The sequence below is a fragment of the Homo sapiens genome, chromosome 9 (assembly GCF_000001405.40).
Source record: "Homo sapiens chromosome 9, GRCh38.p14 Primary Assembly".
NCBI lineage: Eukaryota > Metazoa > Chordata > Mammalia > Primates > Hominidae > Homo > Homo sapiens.
In genome coordinates, this window is record NC_000009.12 from 78,400,178 (window position 1) to 78,417,629 (window position 17,452).

Genomic DNA, 17,452 nt, shown 5'->3' on the forward strand with positions numbered 1-17,452 from the left:
AAAGAGCAAACAAAACTCCCTCAAGCCTCTTTTATAAGGACAATAATCTCATTCATGAGGACTCTACCCTTATGACTCTATCACCTCCCATAGGCTTTACTATTTAATACCACCTTGGGGGTTAGGTTTCAGCATATGAATTTTAGGGAGACACAAACATTCTGATCACATCTTACTTCTTTTATCTCTATTTGAGATGGAGCAGGGATCCATCCCTCTTAGGGGCTTGCCAGGCTTCCCAAGCACGGAAGTAAAGGAAAACCTTGAGTTCCTTCAAGGGAAATTCCAGTTACCTAGCAAGCCCTGAGAAGTAAATGAGCAACCTGAGAAGCAAGAAGTTTTTCAGAAACCCAGACCCCCACCAAATGAATCCACTGGCACATAGACCTCAGACAAGGGAAAACTGAGGGCTGACCTGACTTCTGATCACCATTCTTTATTCTAAATTTCTTTCTGAGGGTCCTGGGAAAGTCATGCCCACAGTCCAGATAATAATACAGTTTTTTTTTTCTGCTGACTCCACATTTTTAGACAAAGCTTCACTTAATTACAAATCAGAGTCTTTGAATCCACCTATCACCTGTACATCTCTGCTTCATGATAGCCTGCCTTGTTAGGCCAAACCAGTGTGTAACCCTCATATGTTGATTTATGATTTTGTCTGTAACTTCTGCTTTCCTGAAATTTACCCCTGCCCTTAGACCATTATCTGGTCTAAAATGTCAATAGTGCTGAGTTTGATAGACTCTGCTTTAGATCAGTTTTCATACTACTATTCTTTTGTACTTACCTCTTACGTATCTTCCACATGGCATTTTGTTTATTTGAACCCTGCACTTCCATGTTTAGACTATGTGAACTAAAGGACAGAATTTTATTTTCTTTTCTATTCTGTAAGCCATCACTGAAGCTGCCCACTGCTTTCTTGGTGCCTTGCAAATTCTCCTTTTTCTCTCTGCAAAACCTTGGTGTGGATGTTTGGCTTTACTGTGCCAGTTAAGTGGATCCCAGTTGGGTTTGGTAACATGTTTCTTTTCAGAATTATTTTGGAGTTTTTCTTTTTCCCTGACCTCTCCCTTTCCCAAATGTTAATAATGTTCCCCTGAAATCTGTTTTCTCTTCTCCTTCCATGATGTAATTCATGGATGTGTCAGTTGCTGCCTCTTGTGGAGACTCTCAAACAGATCTAGCCCCAGTCTCTGCTAACAAGTTTATATGCACACATAGACATATATGTACATACACACATATGTTTACACACATGTAAGGTTACCCAGTAGATATCTTTACCTGGATGTCTTACAGGCAGCTGAAACTTCACATATCTAAGGGATGACCTACTTTTCAGCCAGCTCCATTTACTCCTGTTTCCAGCCTGCAATCTGCAATTCTTGCATTCTTCCTTTTCTTTGCCTTCCATGTTCACTTAATCACTAAATTCTATTGATTTCCTCTCCTTAAGTATCTCTCATCTTGCCTTCATGGCCTTCATATTGATCCTCATTATCTGATCATAATGATGGCAACTAGTTAGGAAACTGGGTTTCCCTTATTTTAATCTCCTCTGCTCTTACTCTGTTATTTCAATAGCCACTAGAGAAGTGCCTCCAAAATGCTTATTTGAATAAATCATTGCCCTATTCAAAATCCTTCAATGACTTTCCATTGCCTAAAGATTAAAGTTTAAACTTTTATTCTGGTGTATTACATACTTTCTGCCTTCAAGATTCATAGCCCTCGCACTCCCCCTCATCCTCCTCACACTCTAGGCTCCAGCTCCATTGCTTTCTTATGCCTTCATACCTTTGCATATAATTTCTCTGCCTAGAATCCCTATCTTTCTCTTTTGTTAGGCAATTCCTACATATATATTAATTCTCAGCTTAAGTTTCTTCAAGATACTTTAGATCTTGCTCCTTGGGAGACATTTGGCAATGTCTGGAGAAATTTCTGGTTGTCACAAGTTGGGGGTGCTAATGGCCAGGGATGGTTCTAAACATCCTTCAGTGTCCAGGACAGCACCTCACAACAAAGAATTATCTGGTCTAAAATTCCAGTAGTGCTGACTTTGATAAACTCTGCTTTAGATCAGTTTTCACACTACTATTCTTTTGTACTTATCTCTTACATATCTTCCACATGGCATTTTATTTATTTGAACCATATATTTGCCTCTTTAGATTATGTGAACTAAAGGACAGGAGTTTATTTTCTTGCTTATAGAACATCTTAAGAATTATTTATTAAAAATGACTTTGGTTGATGTCACTCCTAAATTTCTTTTGTCTACCATATTGGTTGTTCATGAAGCCATTATCAATCACTTATACTTTACAGTGGATGAGGCTTGTTTGGTTTCTTGACAATAGATTGGTTGGTAAAGGAAGGTAGCTTAAGACGATGATAGGATGCTAAAGAAGCACTAAAGTTGTTGCTTGTTTCATGAGCTTCTGTTCCTGCTTCCTTGGATGTTTGGATTGTCTCTTTTCTTCTATTTAGTCCCAAACACTTTTCAGAACATCTCCAGGCAGCTTTTATTTAGCTTGGTTTGCCAGTGCTGCTGCTGCTTTTTATTTTTTCAGCTCTGCCACCCAGGTTGGAGTGCAGTAGTGTAATCATGGCTCACTGCAGCCTCAAACTCCCAAGCTCAAGCAATCCTCCCACCTTGGCCCCTCAAGTAGCTGGGACTACAGGCATGCATCACCATGCCCAGCTAATTTTTTTAAAAAATTTTTTATGGAGATGGGATCTCACAAAGTTGCCCAGTCTGGTCTTGAACTCCAGGACTCAAGTGATCCTCCCGCCTTGGCCTCCCAAAGTGCTGGGATTATAGGCATGAGCTACCATGCCTAGCGGTTTCCTAAGATTTCTAACAGTAGAAATCTGAGGAAAAGATGTGCTCTTTGTTGGCTCTTGGCCCCTTTCCTGTCCTTTTGTTTTCTTCTGTGTGTTCCTGGGGGTGGGTTTGGGGTAGAGGTTAGAAGTCTGCAAACTATATTTCTGAAACATTCTTGCCAGATAGCTTCTAGCTATCTTCTGCAAATGGGAGGCACTGGCAGGAGATTAGGAGGAAGGAGGAAGATATTTTCGGTGCTTCTAGAAGTAAGTGCAGCAGAGGCAGCAGTGATGGAAGGCAAGTCTTGACTCCCAGCTTCCTGCCCAGGGAGTACATGCCCTAGAAGCCTCAGCCACCAAGCACCTGTGGACTTTGGCTCCAGCAGCAACAATGACTACTTTGGGCAACTTTAGGCTCCAGACGTCCTGCAAAAGCAACCATGGCTGTGGTTCCAACAGCACCAGCAATGGGTGCTTTCCAACCTCAGTGGCATAGAGATCATGGATTCTAAGTTACACGTTCCCTTTTGTTGCTCCAGTTCTGGGTATGGGAGCAGCTTCTTGCAATTGCTAGCTTCTGGCTAAGTTCACCTTTTTCCTTTTTCATCTGCCTGCTCTTCCCAGATTTTTCTACTTCCTTTTTTTTTTTTTTTTTTTGAGATGGAGTCTCACTCTGTCACCCAGGATGAAGTGCAGTGGCATGATCTCAGCTCACTGCAACCTCCGCCTCCCAGGTTCAAGCAATTCTCCTGCCTCAGCCTCCTGAGTAGCTGGGATTACAGGTGTATTTTGTATTTTTAGTAGAGACGGGGTTTCACCCTGTTGGCTAGGCTGGTATTGAACTCCTGACCTCAGGTGATCTGCCCACCTGGGCCTCCCAAAGTGCTGGGATTACAGGCGTGAGCCACCGCACCTGACCAGATTTTTCTGTTTCCTGTATCAAATTCCTTCTGTTTGAAATACGTAGAATGGCTTCTGTTTTCCTGATAATATACTGAACGATCTGGCATTGCTATGGCACATTCTCTTTCCCAGGAATTTTTATGAGTTATTGAGGCTTATATTACCTTCCTGGAGATTAGGGTATAAATGCTAATAAATATGGTATTTTAATTCTAATACAAAGGAGAGAAAAGCAGTTGCTTATAGAGGTAAGAGTTTATAATTTTTCTGATTCAGAAGGCATTTGGGATTCAATGAAAGATTCCCACCTCACCCCCTTAAATCTTTATAGCCTTCTTCCATTGAATGAATTGATAGGTTTGATCTAATTTTCTGTTCTCTAGAATTATAAGCAAGTCCTGATTTTTTTTCTTTCTAATTGAGGCAATACGTTTCTGAGATACAACAACTCCAAATGTCAGCCACAGAGGTACCTGGTTGCTTTGACAATCTTGCATGTTATATTAGCGTGAAATAATTATGCAGGAGCCAGAATAGCCTCACTTGTTCCATCACATAATCATCCACCAAGCAGGCATCTTTCCTGAGAAGCTATTTAAAACCTTCTGATGCCTTCTTATCATAATTAGAAGAAAATCCAAACTATTTACCCTAGCTTACTTTAGCCGCTGTTGTTGGTTCTGCTTGCCAGCCCCCGACCCATCCCCTACCATCTTACTCACTCTGCTTTAGTCATACTGGTGGCTTTTCTGGTATTTAAATACTAAAAGCTTGTACCTGACTCTCAGTTTATGTACTTGCTGCCCAGGACCCTCTCCCACTACATGGTTAACTCCTTTTTTCCTTTGTGTGTGTGTGTGGTTTTTTTTTTTTTTTTTTTTGAGATGGAGTGTCGCTCTGTTGCCCAGGTTGGAGTGCAATGGCGTGATCTCGGCTCACTGCAACCTCTGCCTCCCAGGTTCAAGCGATTTTCCTGCCTCAGCCTCCTGAATAGCTGGGATTACAGGCATGCACCACCATGCCCAGCTAAGTTTTGGATTTTTAGTAGAGATGGGGTTTCACCATGTTGGTCAGGCTGGTCTCAAACTCCTGACCTTGTGATCTGCCCACCTCAGTCTCCCAAAGTGCTGGGATTGGTTAACCCCTTTTTAACATCCAGTTCTTAGATGTAACATTACTTCTTCAAAGATGATTTTTTTTTGAGACGGAGTCTTGCTCTATCTCCCAGGCTGGAGTGCAGTGGCGTGATCTCGGCTCACTGCAAGCTCTGCTTCCCGGGTTCATGCCATTTTCCTGCCTCAGCCTCCCATGTAGCTGGGACCACAGGCGCCCACCACCATGCCCGGCTAATTTTTTGTATTTTTAGTAGAGACGGAGTTTCACTGTGTTAGCCAGGATGGTCTCCATCTCCTGACCTCGTGATCCACCTGCCTTGGCCTCCCAAAGTGCTGGGATTACAGGCGTGAGCCACCGTGCCTGGCCTTAAAGATGATTTCTTAAATGAATCTACATGAAGTTGCTCCCCACCCCAAGTCATTCTCCATTCTGTAATTCTCTTTAACAAGTAATAGTTCATATTGCCACATGATTTGAAATATATCATCTATTAGTTTACTTGTTGTTTATCTGCCTCTCACCACTAAAATGTAACTTCGACAGAAGCAGAGAATTTCTCCTTTCATCGCAGTTTTATATCCTAAGTATATCCTGAGTTAAGATATTCCCTGCAACAGGTGCCTGCAATAGGTACTTGTTGAATGACTTAATTAACTGTGTCCACTATGCTGGCTACTCAATTTGGCAAGTGTTTATTGTATATCCACTCTGTGCATGGTCCTGTGGTAAGGGACAAAGAGAAGTCAGCCACGATGCTTTTCTACACACTAGTGGAGTTCAATGTTGGGAGAATGGGCTGTGTCAATAGCTACAATCCCAGCCCCCCACAATAATTAATTTATACTGAGCACTCAGGATGTGCTGGTTACTTTGCTAAGTGTCTTCAGACTTTATCTCATTGAATCCTTTCCACACATCATAACATAGGTGTTAGTAAACCCAATTTACAGATGAGAAAACTAAAACTTAGAGTGTTAGTAACTACTCTAAATCACACAGATATCAAATGACAGCCCAATATTGAATTTGAGTCTGAATCTAAAGCTGTTATTGTAACTTCTTCACAACACGTGTTTTTAAACACTTTATTTTGCTTTGCAGGATACTTGTTATATAAAAGAGGTGGGTTCAGAATGGAGCAATCAAAGGGTCGGAGTTAAAAAACCTAGGCCAGATTAAGACAGAAGATCCCATATAATATTTCTTAACATCCTTTGGATAAGTTTCCTAATGTAGATTTTAACTGAAGCCACAAAAAAAACCACAAAGTCAAAAAATGTAGTCCTTTCTGGCACCCTTTAAATAAAACCACAGTCTTATTGCAACAAAATCAACATCTAGGCTTTAGTTCTGACTTGAAATGTAACAAATACCCCTGCAACTATGCATTACATTTTCAGTAAAAATTTTGGTGGTGACTTGGAAAACAATGATTCTTTAAATAACTTCCCTAATTTCAAAGAGAGGTAGATGAGGGAAAGGGAATGCTATTTTCTATTGTAAGGCAATGAGATTTGTTAGCTAAACAAAGACTTGTCAAAAGTCAAGGGTGATCAGCACCCTTGACTTTGTTGCTAATTCAGAGCTGCATCCCATTCCCGAGCTTTTAGAAAAGGGTAATAAGGAAAAGAGAGAGGTAAGTGGGGGTATTTCTAGGAGGTGAAGACAGTCTGATAAAATTTATACAGTAGTCTAAAAATGAGTCTTTCCCACAATGCCTAAAAAGATTCTTTCCCTTTTATCTCACCTTTGGCCTTTTATCAATTAGCAATCCATTCTTATTATCGACTGTCCACTTTGAAATGGAGACTAGCTTTAGAATGGCTGTTAGTCATTCAACCTTGGGGCTCAATTAGTTATTAGAATGCTTCCCTCCTGGAGATTTAATAATGAAAGGGAATTTTGGAGAAGTGCATTGGAGGGCAGTGAAGTTTTATGCTGTTAGGTACTGTAGGAGTGTGCTGGTTGGCTGGGCTTCAGATATAAGGTTGTGACACAAGTGGAACTCAGGCACAGAGCCACCCAAGATGAATCAGTTTCTACGCTCAGAGAAGTAGAGGTGACTGAACCCTGTGGGGCATGTGGCGGCAGCTCTTGACATCTTGTTTGCACATTTCACAAGCAATATCCTTTATCTTTGTGTACTAGCATTGGCCAAACCCTGCCTCACTCTTGGCTTTCATTTTCCTTTTGACCCATTTTGATTGTACTACTGGGAAATTATTGGCCAAAGTGGGGAGGATCTTAGATACTGCTAGGGAGATATCCTTGGGATTTTTCTGATTTCTCTTGTGCAGCCACTCAACCCTGGCCAGATTTACTCCTTGGGGTGAGCAAAGGAGTAGAGAAGGAAGAGAGAGCCACAGAGGAGAGGTCACATGCAAATATCCCTGTAAGAGATAGCTTATAAGTATGATACCTACAGAGGAGAGGCCGCGTGTAAATATCAAACTTACAGAGTGACTCTACAATATTCTTGCATTGTCTATTTGTCCGTGATTCTAGGATGAATGTGCGTAGGGATGAGGGTAAATCTGCTTTTATTTCAGGGGAGAGAGGGAGAGGGAACATCTAGCTTTCACCAAATTTTTGTGGGAAACAGATCTGCTTCACTCTACTGGAAACTGTCAACTTTAAACAAACTCTAGGAAGCCTCTTTGTAATGGCAGAATAAATCTACCCTTACATTTCTCCTGAAATAACAAGGAGATGAAATACGAAGAAAAAACCTTGCACTCACTAACATAAATCAGCCCTGTTGCTGCAATCAGCGCATATGGTATGGTAACATTGCCCACTGCTCTGAGACCTGTTAATGGAAGACCATATGTGCTTCTGCAAGATCAAAACACAACGGGCCTGGTTTAAGACTCTGTGGTGGCTCTGACTCCGAACTTGTGTTTATTGGTTTGTGTTTCTGCTTTAGCGCTATCCTCCCCACCATAGTCTCTCCCAGTCCCTTACTTTTTTCTTTCCTTTCCTTCAGGAGTTCAGGGGGCCGGATAACTTAAAAACTTGTGTTTGGACTTTGCAGAGTTCCTATAGTAGGCAGAGGCCATGACAGAGACACATTACAGGTGTCTGGAATATGAGGCATTATTGATGGTGCCTCCAGAACAGAGCAATTCCTTTCTGCCTGCAGACTTGCCTTTTGGAATGTACTAATTACAAGAGGTTAGAGATTTGGGTTAAAGCAAGGATGAAAAGCGATTTTATTTGGTTTTCTCCCCTCTACCCTTTTATTTAAACAAACGAATATAGGCTTTTAAAAAAGTGAGAGGGCCCAGTATTCACTTTCCCTATGTAAAGTGAGTGAATGAATCAGACTGCTCAGTTTTTTTTTTATTATTATTATTGTGGGTATAAGCATAAATGAAAACCAAATAAGTTACTAATAGGACTGAATGCACAGCACATCTTTCTTGGAGCTCAAGAACCTTGTGAACATAAATGCATTTATCTTTGGGATGACTCTTTGAGAATGGTGTCTGGTTAACATAATACCCTCTAATTTGTTATGGCCTATGCTTAGCTTCTTTCTCTTGTTCACAGGAGATCCCAGATAGCTCTGAACAAGCTCATGATGAATGCCAGACCTCCTGTGAGACAAAGCTTTGTAATGGGGGATAAATAAACCACACACACTTACTATTGACATAAAATGTAGTTATTTTCCTTTGAATAAAAAATACGCTGTTTGTCACAATAAAGGAAGCTCTAATATAGTTATGTTATTTTCTGAATCCTTGTTTAGAGCATCTACCAGGACCCGTCTGTATAGACCATGTGATGTCTCATTATCAGTCTGTGTGACAAAGCTTTCATCCTGAGGTCCTGTGTATCCATATGTATTTTTTTCCTTGATAATTAATCCTATGCCATTTTAGTGCATGGAATCCTTTGCTTTAAAATCAGCACTTCCCTTGGATTCCAAGTTGGCTTAAAAGTTGCAACTGCCCTGAAAATCATGTACTATGTTTAGAAAAATTTTCAGTAGTGGTGTGTGAGGTCATTTATTCCCCCTCTAGAAGGGGATGATCACTGTCCGTGGTGATCTCATGTGGTAGGATAAATACCAACTGTTTTAGATGTGTGATATTGAGAGGCGGTATCATTCAGGGCAACGGTTTGTAAATCTGGGTGATCATCAGGACGAATTGGAGGAGGAGGAGGTTTCTAACCTCACCAGGCTTCCCTATCTGAGGACTCTGACTGAGAGATCTGGGGTAGGGTCTAGGGATCTTTCTAATAAAGCTTCCATAGGCAATTCTGATGATCAGTGGAGTTGGGAATCATTGACTATAAAATCTTTGTCCTGAGTGTCAGTTCAGGTTTTGTCATATATTCATTCAATCAACCATCTAGTCAGCCAACTGCGATTTTGTGCCAGGCACTGGGCTGAGTGCAGGAGTACAGAGGTTAACAAGACAGCGTGCAGCCTCAACCATTTAATGGCTCTTGGCTCCATTTCCTGACCTTTAAATAGGGGTTGGATGAGATTTCAGGTCCCACTCAGCTCTAGCAGTCAATGGTATTTAAGAAACTGAGCTCCTGACCTCCTAAAGTGCCTTTCAACTTCTTTGCAGTTCTTTTTGCCAAGCTGACATACTCCCATTCCAGTTTTCTACCTTGCCTTAGGCTTATCCCTCAAACAAGTCTTCAGGGCTTACTGTCAGCCTGATTGAAATGTTAAACATGTGTTCTTCTCTCTCTTTCCAGGGCTATTGGGTGAGCAGTTAACCAACTCTTCATCAGGCTGTGTATTTTTCTATTCACCATGATAGTGAGAGGTGACAGCGTGCTGGCAGCCCTCACAGCCCTCGCTCGCTCTCCGTGCCTCCTCTGCCTGGGCTCCCACTTTGGCGGCACCTGAGGAGCCCTTCAGCCCGCCGCTGCATGGTGGGAGCCCCTTTCTGGGCTGGCCAAGGTCGGAGCCGGCTCCCTCAGCTTGCAGGGAGGTGTGGAGGGAGAGGTGCAAGTGGGAACTGGGGCTGCGCATGAGGCTTGCCAGCCAACTGGAGTTCTGGGTGGGCGTTGGCTTAGCGGGCCCCGCACTGGGAGTGGCCGGCCGGCCCTGCCGGCCCGGGCAGTGAGGGGCTTAGCACCTGGGCCAAAGGCTGCGGAGGGTGTACTGGGTACCCCAGCAGTGCCGGCTCACAGGCGCTGTGCTCAATTTCTTGCCTGGCCTTAGCTGCCTCCCCGTGGGGCAGGGCTCGGGACCTGCAGCCCACCATGCCTGAGCCTCTCCGGCTCCGTGGGCTCCTGTGCAGCCCGAGCCTCCCCGATGAGTGCCACCACCTGCTCCACGGCGCCCAGTCCCATTGACCACCCAAGGGCTGAGAAGTGCGGGCGCAGGGCGAGGGACTGGCAGGCAGCTCCACCTGCAGCCCCAGTGCGGGATCCACTGGGTGAAGCCAGCTGGGCTCCTGACTCTGGTGGGAACTTGGAGAACCTTTATGTCTAGCTAAGGGATTGTAAATACACCAATCAGCACTTTGTGTCTAGCTCAAGGTTTATAAACACACCAATAAGCACCCTGTGTCTAGCTCAGGGTTTGTGAATGCACCAGTGGGCACTCTGTATCCAGCTACCCTGGTGGGGACTTGGAGAACCTTTATGTCTAGCTGAGGGATTGTAAATACACCAATCAGCACTCTGTATCTAGCTCAAGGTTTGTAAACACACCAATCAGCACCCTGTGTCTAGCTCAGGGTTTGTGAATGCACCAATCAACACTCTGTATCTAGCTACTCTGGTAGGGACTTGGAGAACCTTTGTGTGGACACTATGTATCTAGCTAATTTAGTGGGGAGGTGGAGAACCTTTGTGTCTAGCTCAGGGATTGTAAACACACCAGTCAGAGCCCTGTCAAAACAGACCACTGAACTCTCTGCAAAATGGACCAATCAGCAGGATGTGGGTGGGGCCAGATAAGAGAATAAAAGCAGGCTGCCCAAGCCAGCCGTAGAAACCCGCACGGGTCCCCTTCCACACTGTGGAAGCTTTGTTCTTTCGCTCTTTGTAATAAATCTTGCTGCTGCTCACTCTTTGGGTCCACACTGCCTTTAAGAGCTGTAACACTCACCACGAAGGTCTGCAGCTTCACTCCTGAGCCAGCGAGACCACGAACCCACCAGAAAGAAGAAACTCCGAACACATCTGAACATCAGAAGGAACAAACTCCGGACATGCCGCCTTTAAGAACTATAACACTCACCGCAAGCGTCCGCGGCTTCATTCTTGAAGTTAGTGAGACCAAGAACCCACCAATTCCGGACACAATAGTATGAAAAGCAGCTGCTTACCCTGGACAGAGTTTCAAAAAGGTGGCTTCCAACCCATTTCCATGTTACATGGAAAAGCTCTTGTTTTTCTCCTCATCTGTTGCCATCAGAGGCCCAGTGGAAACTCAAGGTAAAGCTTCACAGACAGGCAAATCTGGGCCTCTCAAACCAGAGGGGACTGAACTGAGGGTGAAGGGCACATTTTCTCAGCTTTTCAAGGGGATGGGATTAGGGGTGGGATGAAGGAGAGAATGTGGGCAGAGACTCAGTCTGACTTCAATACAGAACAAAACATAAAACAATGTACCACTTTAAAGTTAAGGAGTTTTTGGAATTCTCTAGATCTTATTCTGAGATGGAAGCAGAATGGAATTTAAACAGCATCCTTTTCTTCCCGCTTTTGAGACAGTCTCACTCTGTCACCGGGGCTGGAGTGCAGTGGTGCAATCATGGCTCACTGCAGCCTGGATTTCCTGGGCTCAAGCAATCCTTCCACCTCAGCCTCCCAAGTAACTGGAACCACAGGTATGTGTCACCACACGGGGCTAATTTTTTTTAAAATTTTTTATTTTTAGTGGAGACGAGGTCTCTATGTGCCCTAGGCTGGTCTCAAGCTCCTTAGCTCAAGGGATCCTCCTGCCTCAGCCTCTCAAAGTGCTGAGATTACAGGCATGGGCCAGCACATGCAACCTAAAGAACACATTTTTCTTTCAGAGTCTTCTTATGACCCAGGAAAATGACTGTTTATTAATCAGGTCACAGTAAAGCTGATGCCACTTCTCGTAATCAAGAAGACTGTCTCTCAATCATGAGATGGAACAGAAAACCCCTTTTTAGGGGCCTGTGGACTCCACACTTGGAAATAAAGGACAATTCTGAGGTCCTTCAAAGGAAATTCCAGGCACCTGGCTAGCCCCAGAAGTAAATAAGTAATTTGTTAAACCAGAAGGGAAGAGTAGCCTAAAGCAACAGCCAAGGAAGTTAGAGTTCCAGAGATATTTGCCTTCCTGATAGAAACTAAAGACAACATCTTAACACATGTCCCTGAGTTGTCTTTCAGAGATCCCCACTGAGGACCCCAACAAACTGATCTACCTGCGCATAGACTTCAGATAAAAGGGAATTGAAGACTGAACTTTGACCATGTTTTTTATTCTAAATTTCTTCCTGAAGGGTTTGGAGAAAGTCATCGTCCCCATATAGCCAATTAACATTTTTCTGCGAACCCCAAATTTTAAAACCAAGTTTCTTTTCCTTAACCAATTGCAAACCAGCAAAGCTTTGAATCTGCCTACTACCAATAAGCCTGCGCTTCGGGATAATCTGCCTCTTTAGGCCTAAACCAATGTGTCATCTCCGTGTGTTGATTTAGAATATTGCCTGTAGCTTCTGCTTTTAAAAACACTTGCCTGAAAGCCATCGGTGAGGCCAGGATTTGAGCATTTAGCTGCTTAGTCCTCCTTGCTTGGCACCCGGCAAATAAACATTTTTCTTTCTATTGCCGTAAAACCTTAGTGTGTGTGTATATATATATGTGTGTATATATATACATATATATATATAGTGTGTATATATACACATATATATAGTGTGTGTATATATACACATATATATAGTGTGTATATATATACATATATATAGTGTGTGTATATATATACATATATATAGTGTGTGTATATATATACATATATACACATACTATATGTGTATATATGTATATATGTGTATATATGTATATATGTGTATATATGTATATATGTGTATATATGTATATATGTGTATATATGTATATATGTGTATATATGTATATATGTGTATATATGTGTATATATGTGTATATATATGTGTATATGTGTATATATATGTGTATATGTGTATATATATGTGTGTATATATGTATGTATATATGTGTGTGTGCATATATATATATATGTAGATTTATCACACAGGGTGAGTAGACCGGACTACAGCTTGGTTCTATAACACATGAGGGTCTAAATATTTTCATCGCTTATTAAAGTAAAACTTAAAGGTCTCTGTATCGACCTAAAACCAGCATCTTGTGGTTCTTCCCTGTGGAAGGAGAAGAGGTAGATCAAAGAACTCATTATTTGAGTTTCCAGGGTTGCCCATTCAGGTAGTTCTGGAAAATAGTGCTTAACATGTCACGAAGGGCTGGGCGCGGTGGCTCACACCTGTAATCCCAGCACTTTGGGAGGCTAAGGTGGGCAAATCACCTGAGGTTAGTTCACGACCAGACTGGCCAACATAGTGCAACCCTGTCTCTACTAAAAATACAAAAATTAGCCAGGCATGGTGGTGCATGCCTGTGGTCCCCACTACTTTGGAGGCTGAGGCAGAAGAATCACTTGAACCTGGGAGGCGGAAATTGCAGTGAGCCGAGATCGCGCCACTGCACTCCAGTTTGGAGTTTCCTCCAGACCTATCTGCCTGGGCGACAGAGTGAGACTCCATCTCAAAACAAGACAAACAAAAAAACATGTTAGTGAGGCAGATGGTAAACATGTCAGTGATGTAGATGGTAAACATGTCAGTGTCGCAGATAGTAGAGACAATGGCAACTGGAGAATTCAGGCCTGGTCTCAAGGGCAAGGCTGGTGCTTAGCCCCAGTGATGTGGCTTTTTGGAAATGAGGACCCAGTGTTGCCAGTTCTTATGAGTTTTTTCAAAAGAAAGAGATCTAGATTTTTTTTTTTTTTTTGAGATGGAGTCTCGCCCTGTTGCCCAGGCTGGAGTGCAATGGTGCGATCTTGGCTCACTGCAACCTCTGCCTCCCGGGTTCAAACAATTCTGCTGCCTCAGCCTCCTGAGTAGCTGGGATTACAGGCGTGCCCCACCATGCCTGGCTAATTTTTGTATTTTTAGTAGAGATGGGGTTTTACCATGTTGGCCAGGCTGGTCTTGAACTCCTGACCTTGTGACCGCTCAGCTCAGCTTCCCAAAGTGTTGATTACAGGCGTGAGCTACTGCGCCTGGCTGATCTAGATTTTTAGGTTGGCAAGCAATTCAAATTAGGTATGCACACAGACCCCAACCACATTGCTGGGCAGCTCGATGGCAACCCTCTTTCCCTGTTTGTTACTATTGTGAAGGAATCTTGCTAGCCTTTTGATTGGAAGTAAGCTGAGGCACACACACACAGAACCCCAACAAGAGTTCAATCTATTCTTCATTATGGTATAACCCAAATGACAGACACTTTCAAATGAAAAGTAGGGCAGAGCATCTGGTCTAGCTAACATACCAACATCTGGCGTGGGAGTGTAGGATCTGAATGGCCAGGCCTTTAGCAGGATTGCTGTCTGTGGCTTTCCAGCTGGGCAGCGTGGTGTATGGTGGAACTGCACATCCAACCATGATGCTTTGGTATCAGGGCGTCTCCACATGGAGGCTCCTGCAGCCAGTGGTGGGTGTTCATCATAGACACACCTTCTCTTTCTCATGGTCTATGACCTTTAACCTCAGAGGTGGTTCCTTTGAATACTTTCCCTTCCCCTGACGTTACCACTTCCTTTCAGTTTCTAAGCTTTGGCTTTCCCCCAGATTCCTCCACCTTTTGGTCTACAAAAGATGTGTATATAGATACACACACACACACACACACACACACACACACACACACACATATACATATTTTTTGAGACAGTTTCACTCTTGTTACCCAGGCTGGAGTGCAATGGCACAGTCTTGGCTCACTGCAACCTCTGCCTCCCTGGTTCAAGTGATTCTCCTGCCTCAGCCTCCCAAGTAGCTGGGATTACAGGTGCCTGCCACCATGCCCAGCTAATCTTTGTATTTTTAGTAGAGATGGGGTTTCACCATGAGACATATCTCTCATAATTGTATAACTTTTAAGTCTTATTTTGCTAAGAGAGCACCTATATTTTTCCTGATCTCAAGTTGTATTACAGAATCAGTTGTGGTCCTGGCAGAATCAAATGTTATACCATAAATGGATAATTTGTAGTGAATTTAATAAAGAGATTGGCCAGGCTGGTCTCAAACTCCTGACCTCAGGTGATCTGCCTGCCTCTGCCTCCCAAAGTGCTGGGATTACAGGCATAAGCCACCATGCCCAGCCCAAAGTTGTATATAAATCAGTTTTCTGTCCCCCATATTCATTTTCTGTCCTCCATACTCATTTTCACTTCTAGGTAGGAGGAAATAGAATCATGAGGAGGATGGAGGGGAGAAAAGAAGTCAAGGTAGCTTTTAACTGGAAAAGTGACTTAATTTTTTTTTTCTCTAATTTTTTTTTCTCTTTTTGGTTTCTATGGTGATCTAAATAATAATTAGATGTCTCTACTGTAAGACTTAATACCTTGTCACTGTGTCAGCCTGAGACATATCTCTCAAAATTGTATAACTTTTAGGTCTTATTTTGCTAAAAGAGCACCTGTATTTTTCCTGATCTCAAGTTGTGTTACAGAATCAGTTGTGGTCCTCGCAGAATCAAAAGTTATATCATAAATGGATAATTTGTAGTGAATTTAATAAAGAGATTATTTATGTAGGTGTAGAGCAGAATCGCAAGTGATTGTGCAGTATGCTAGAGCTACAGAGAGTGCAGTGACGTGGGAGTCTGTTACTACCCCCAGGGCTGAAGGGGCGAGTGGAGATAGTGGCTCCTGGAATCTGGATATAGGCTAGGCTGTATGGAACAGGTGGATGACAGGAGGCAGCCAGCCTGTGGTCACTTTCCGGGGAGAAGTCATTGGAATAAATACCCTGACTTTGTCTCTCTTTCTGTTATCTGGCTTTTGCATTGATCAAACTCAACTGGAAGGCTGTCAATGGAGTCCATAATAGTCAGCAGGGTGGAGAAAGTGGAGAATGGATTTACAGTGGAAAATAGAAGTTATATAGCACAACATTTGAAGTTATAAGATGCCAGTTTGATCTGAATTGTTCAGTCAAGTATAATTGCTAGCATTTGCATGCTGTCATGTTCAAACTGAAACTTTCAACAGAAGCATTTGAATAAACACTATTAATGGAACGACACCTTGTAAAAGATTAAGAATTCATAAAATTCAATATTTATTGAATCCCTACTATGTCCCTAGTATTGTGGTCATCTTATCTGTGGACTATATTAATGCTACTGTAATAGAGGGCAAGATTAAATAATTTTTATGTTGGGGTCAGCTGGAGCTATCTTTCATTTGTAAACTCATTTGGGTAAAAGATTGTACACTTTTGGCCAGGCGTGGTGGCTCACGTCTGTAATCCCAGCACTTTGGGAGGCGGAGACAGGTGGATCATGAGGTCAGGAGATTGAGACCATCCTGGCTAACACAGTGAAACCCCATCTCTACTAAAAATACAAAAAATTAGCTGGGCGTGGTAGCACATGCCTGTAATCCCAGCTACTCAGGAGGCTGAGGCAGGAGAGTCACTTGAACCTGGGAGGCAGAGGTTGCAGTGAGCCAAGATTGCGCCACTGCACTCCAGCCTGGGTGACAGAGCCGGACTCTGTCTCAAAAAAAAAAAAAAAAAAAAGATTGTCCACTTGCCATTCAAGTATTGTAGAGAGTGATTCTTTTGTACCAAGCAATGTTTGTACTGCTACATTCTGTAGGAGGATGGTTTCCAGGAGCAGATAAATTAATCTTTTTAACAGTTCAATTACAGTTGTGTAAGTTTTTGTTTTTAGAACAAACAATAATAAAACATTTGTTGTTTTCTCTTTGCAAAATGGAGATTAAATGAGATAATGCATATGCCTGATCCTCTGTAAAGCCTTAATGAATGTAATCCAATTTTCAAATAAAAGAGAAAACCCACCAATCTCCCTGCTTTCAAAATTCAATCTGCTTTTGTGTTTCCTTACTCACTTTTAGAATTTATTCTTACGCGTTTGTAATTTCTACAAACAAGGAGATTTTATTTGCATGTGAAAGAAACCCAAACTTTAAGTGAGATTAGGTGTGATATCTTTAGGGCATGGTTTCTGTTTCCCTGGGAGCTTGCCCTTCTCTAGAAGGCTCTATCTTCAGGCTGGTGTTCTTCAGAGGATATAAATGGCTGTTCCTGTTTCAGGCTTCACACCATCATACAACCTACATACAAGATGTCATAGGCACCTTGGGCTGTAATAACAAAATACCACAGACTGGGTGGTTTAAACAACTGGAGTTTATTTCTCAGAGTTCTGGAGGCTGGAAGTCCAAGATCAGGGTGCTAGCAGGGTCGACGTCTGGCGAGGGCTCTCTTTTTGTTGCAGATGGCACCTTGCTATGCCCTCAAATGGTCTTTCCTTGGTGCATGTGAGTGAAGGAGAGAGGAAGCAA

The 17,452-nt window shown here is 42.7% G+C and overlaps 1 long non-coding RNA gene across 2 annotated transcripts in view, besides 1 other annotated feature; it reads left to right on the plus strand.

Annotated features, from left to right (window-relative positions):
- The window catches only part of LOC107987083 (uncharacterized), a 122,361-nt gene that overhangs the window by 42,573 nt on the left and 62,336 nt on the right, over positions 1–17,452 (plus strand). The window lies entirely within an intron of this gene.
- Positions 9,848–10,347: an enhancer, noted in NCBI's record as "H3K4me1 hESC enhancer chr9:81024941-81025440 (GRCh37/hg19 assembly coordinates)". NCBI's record gives its function as "activates a minimal SCP1, AML or CMV promoter by ChIP-STARR-seq in primed H9 embryonic stem cells {active_cell/tissue: H9 hESC(primed)}" and the evidence as "EXISTENCE:reporter gene assay evidence [ECO:0000049][PMID:30033119]".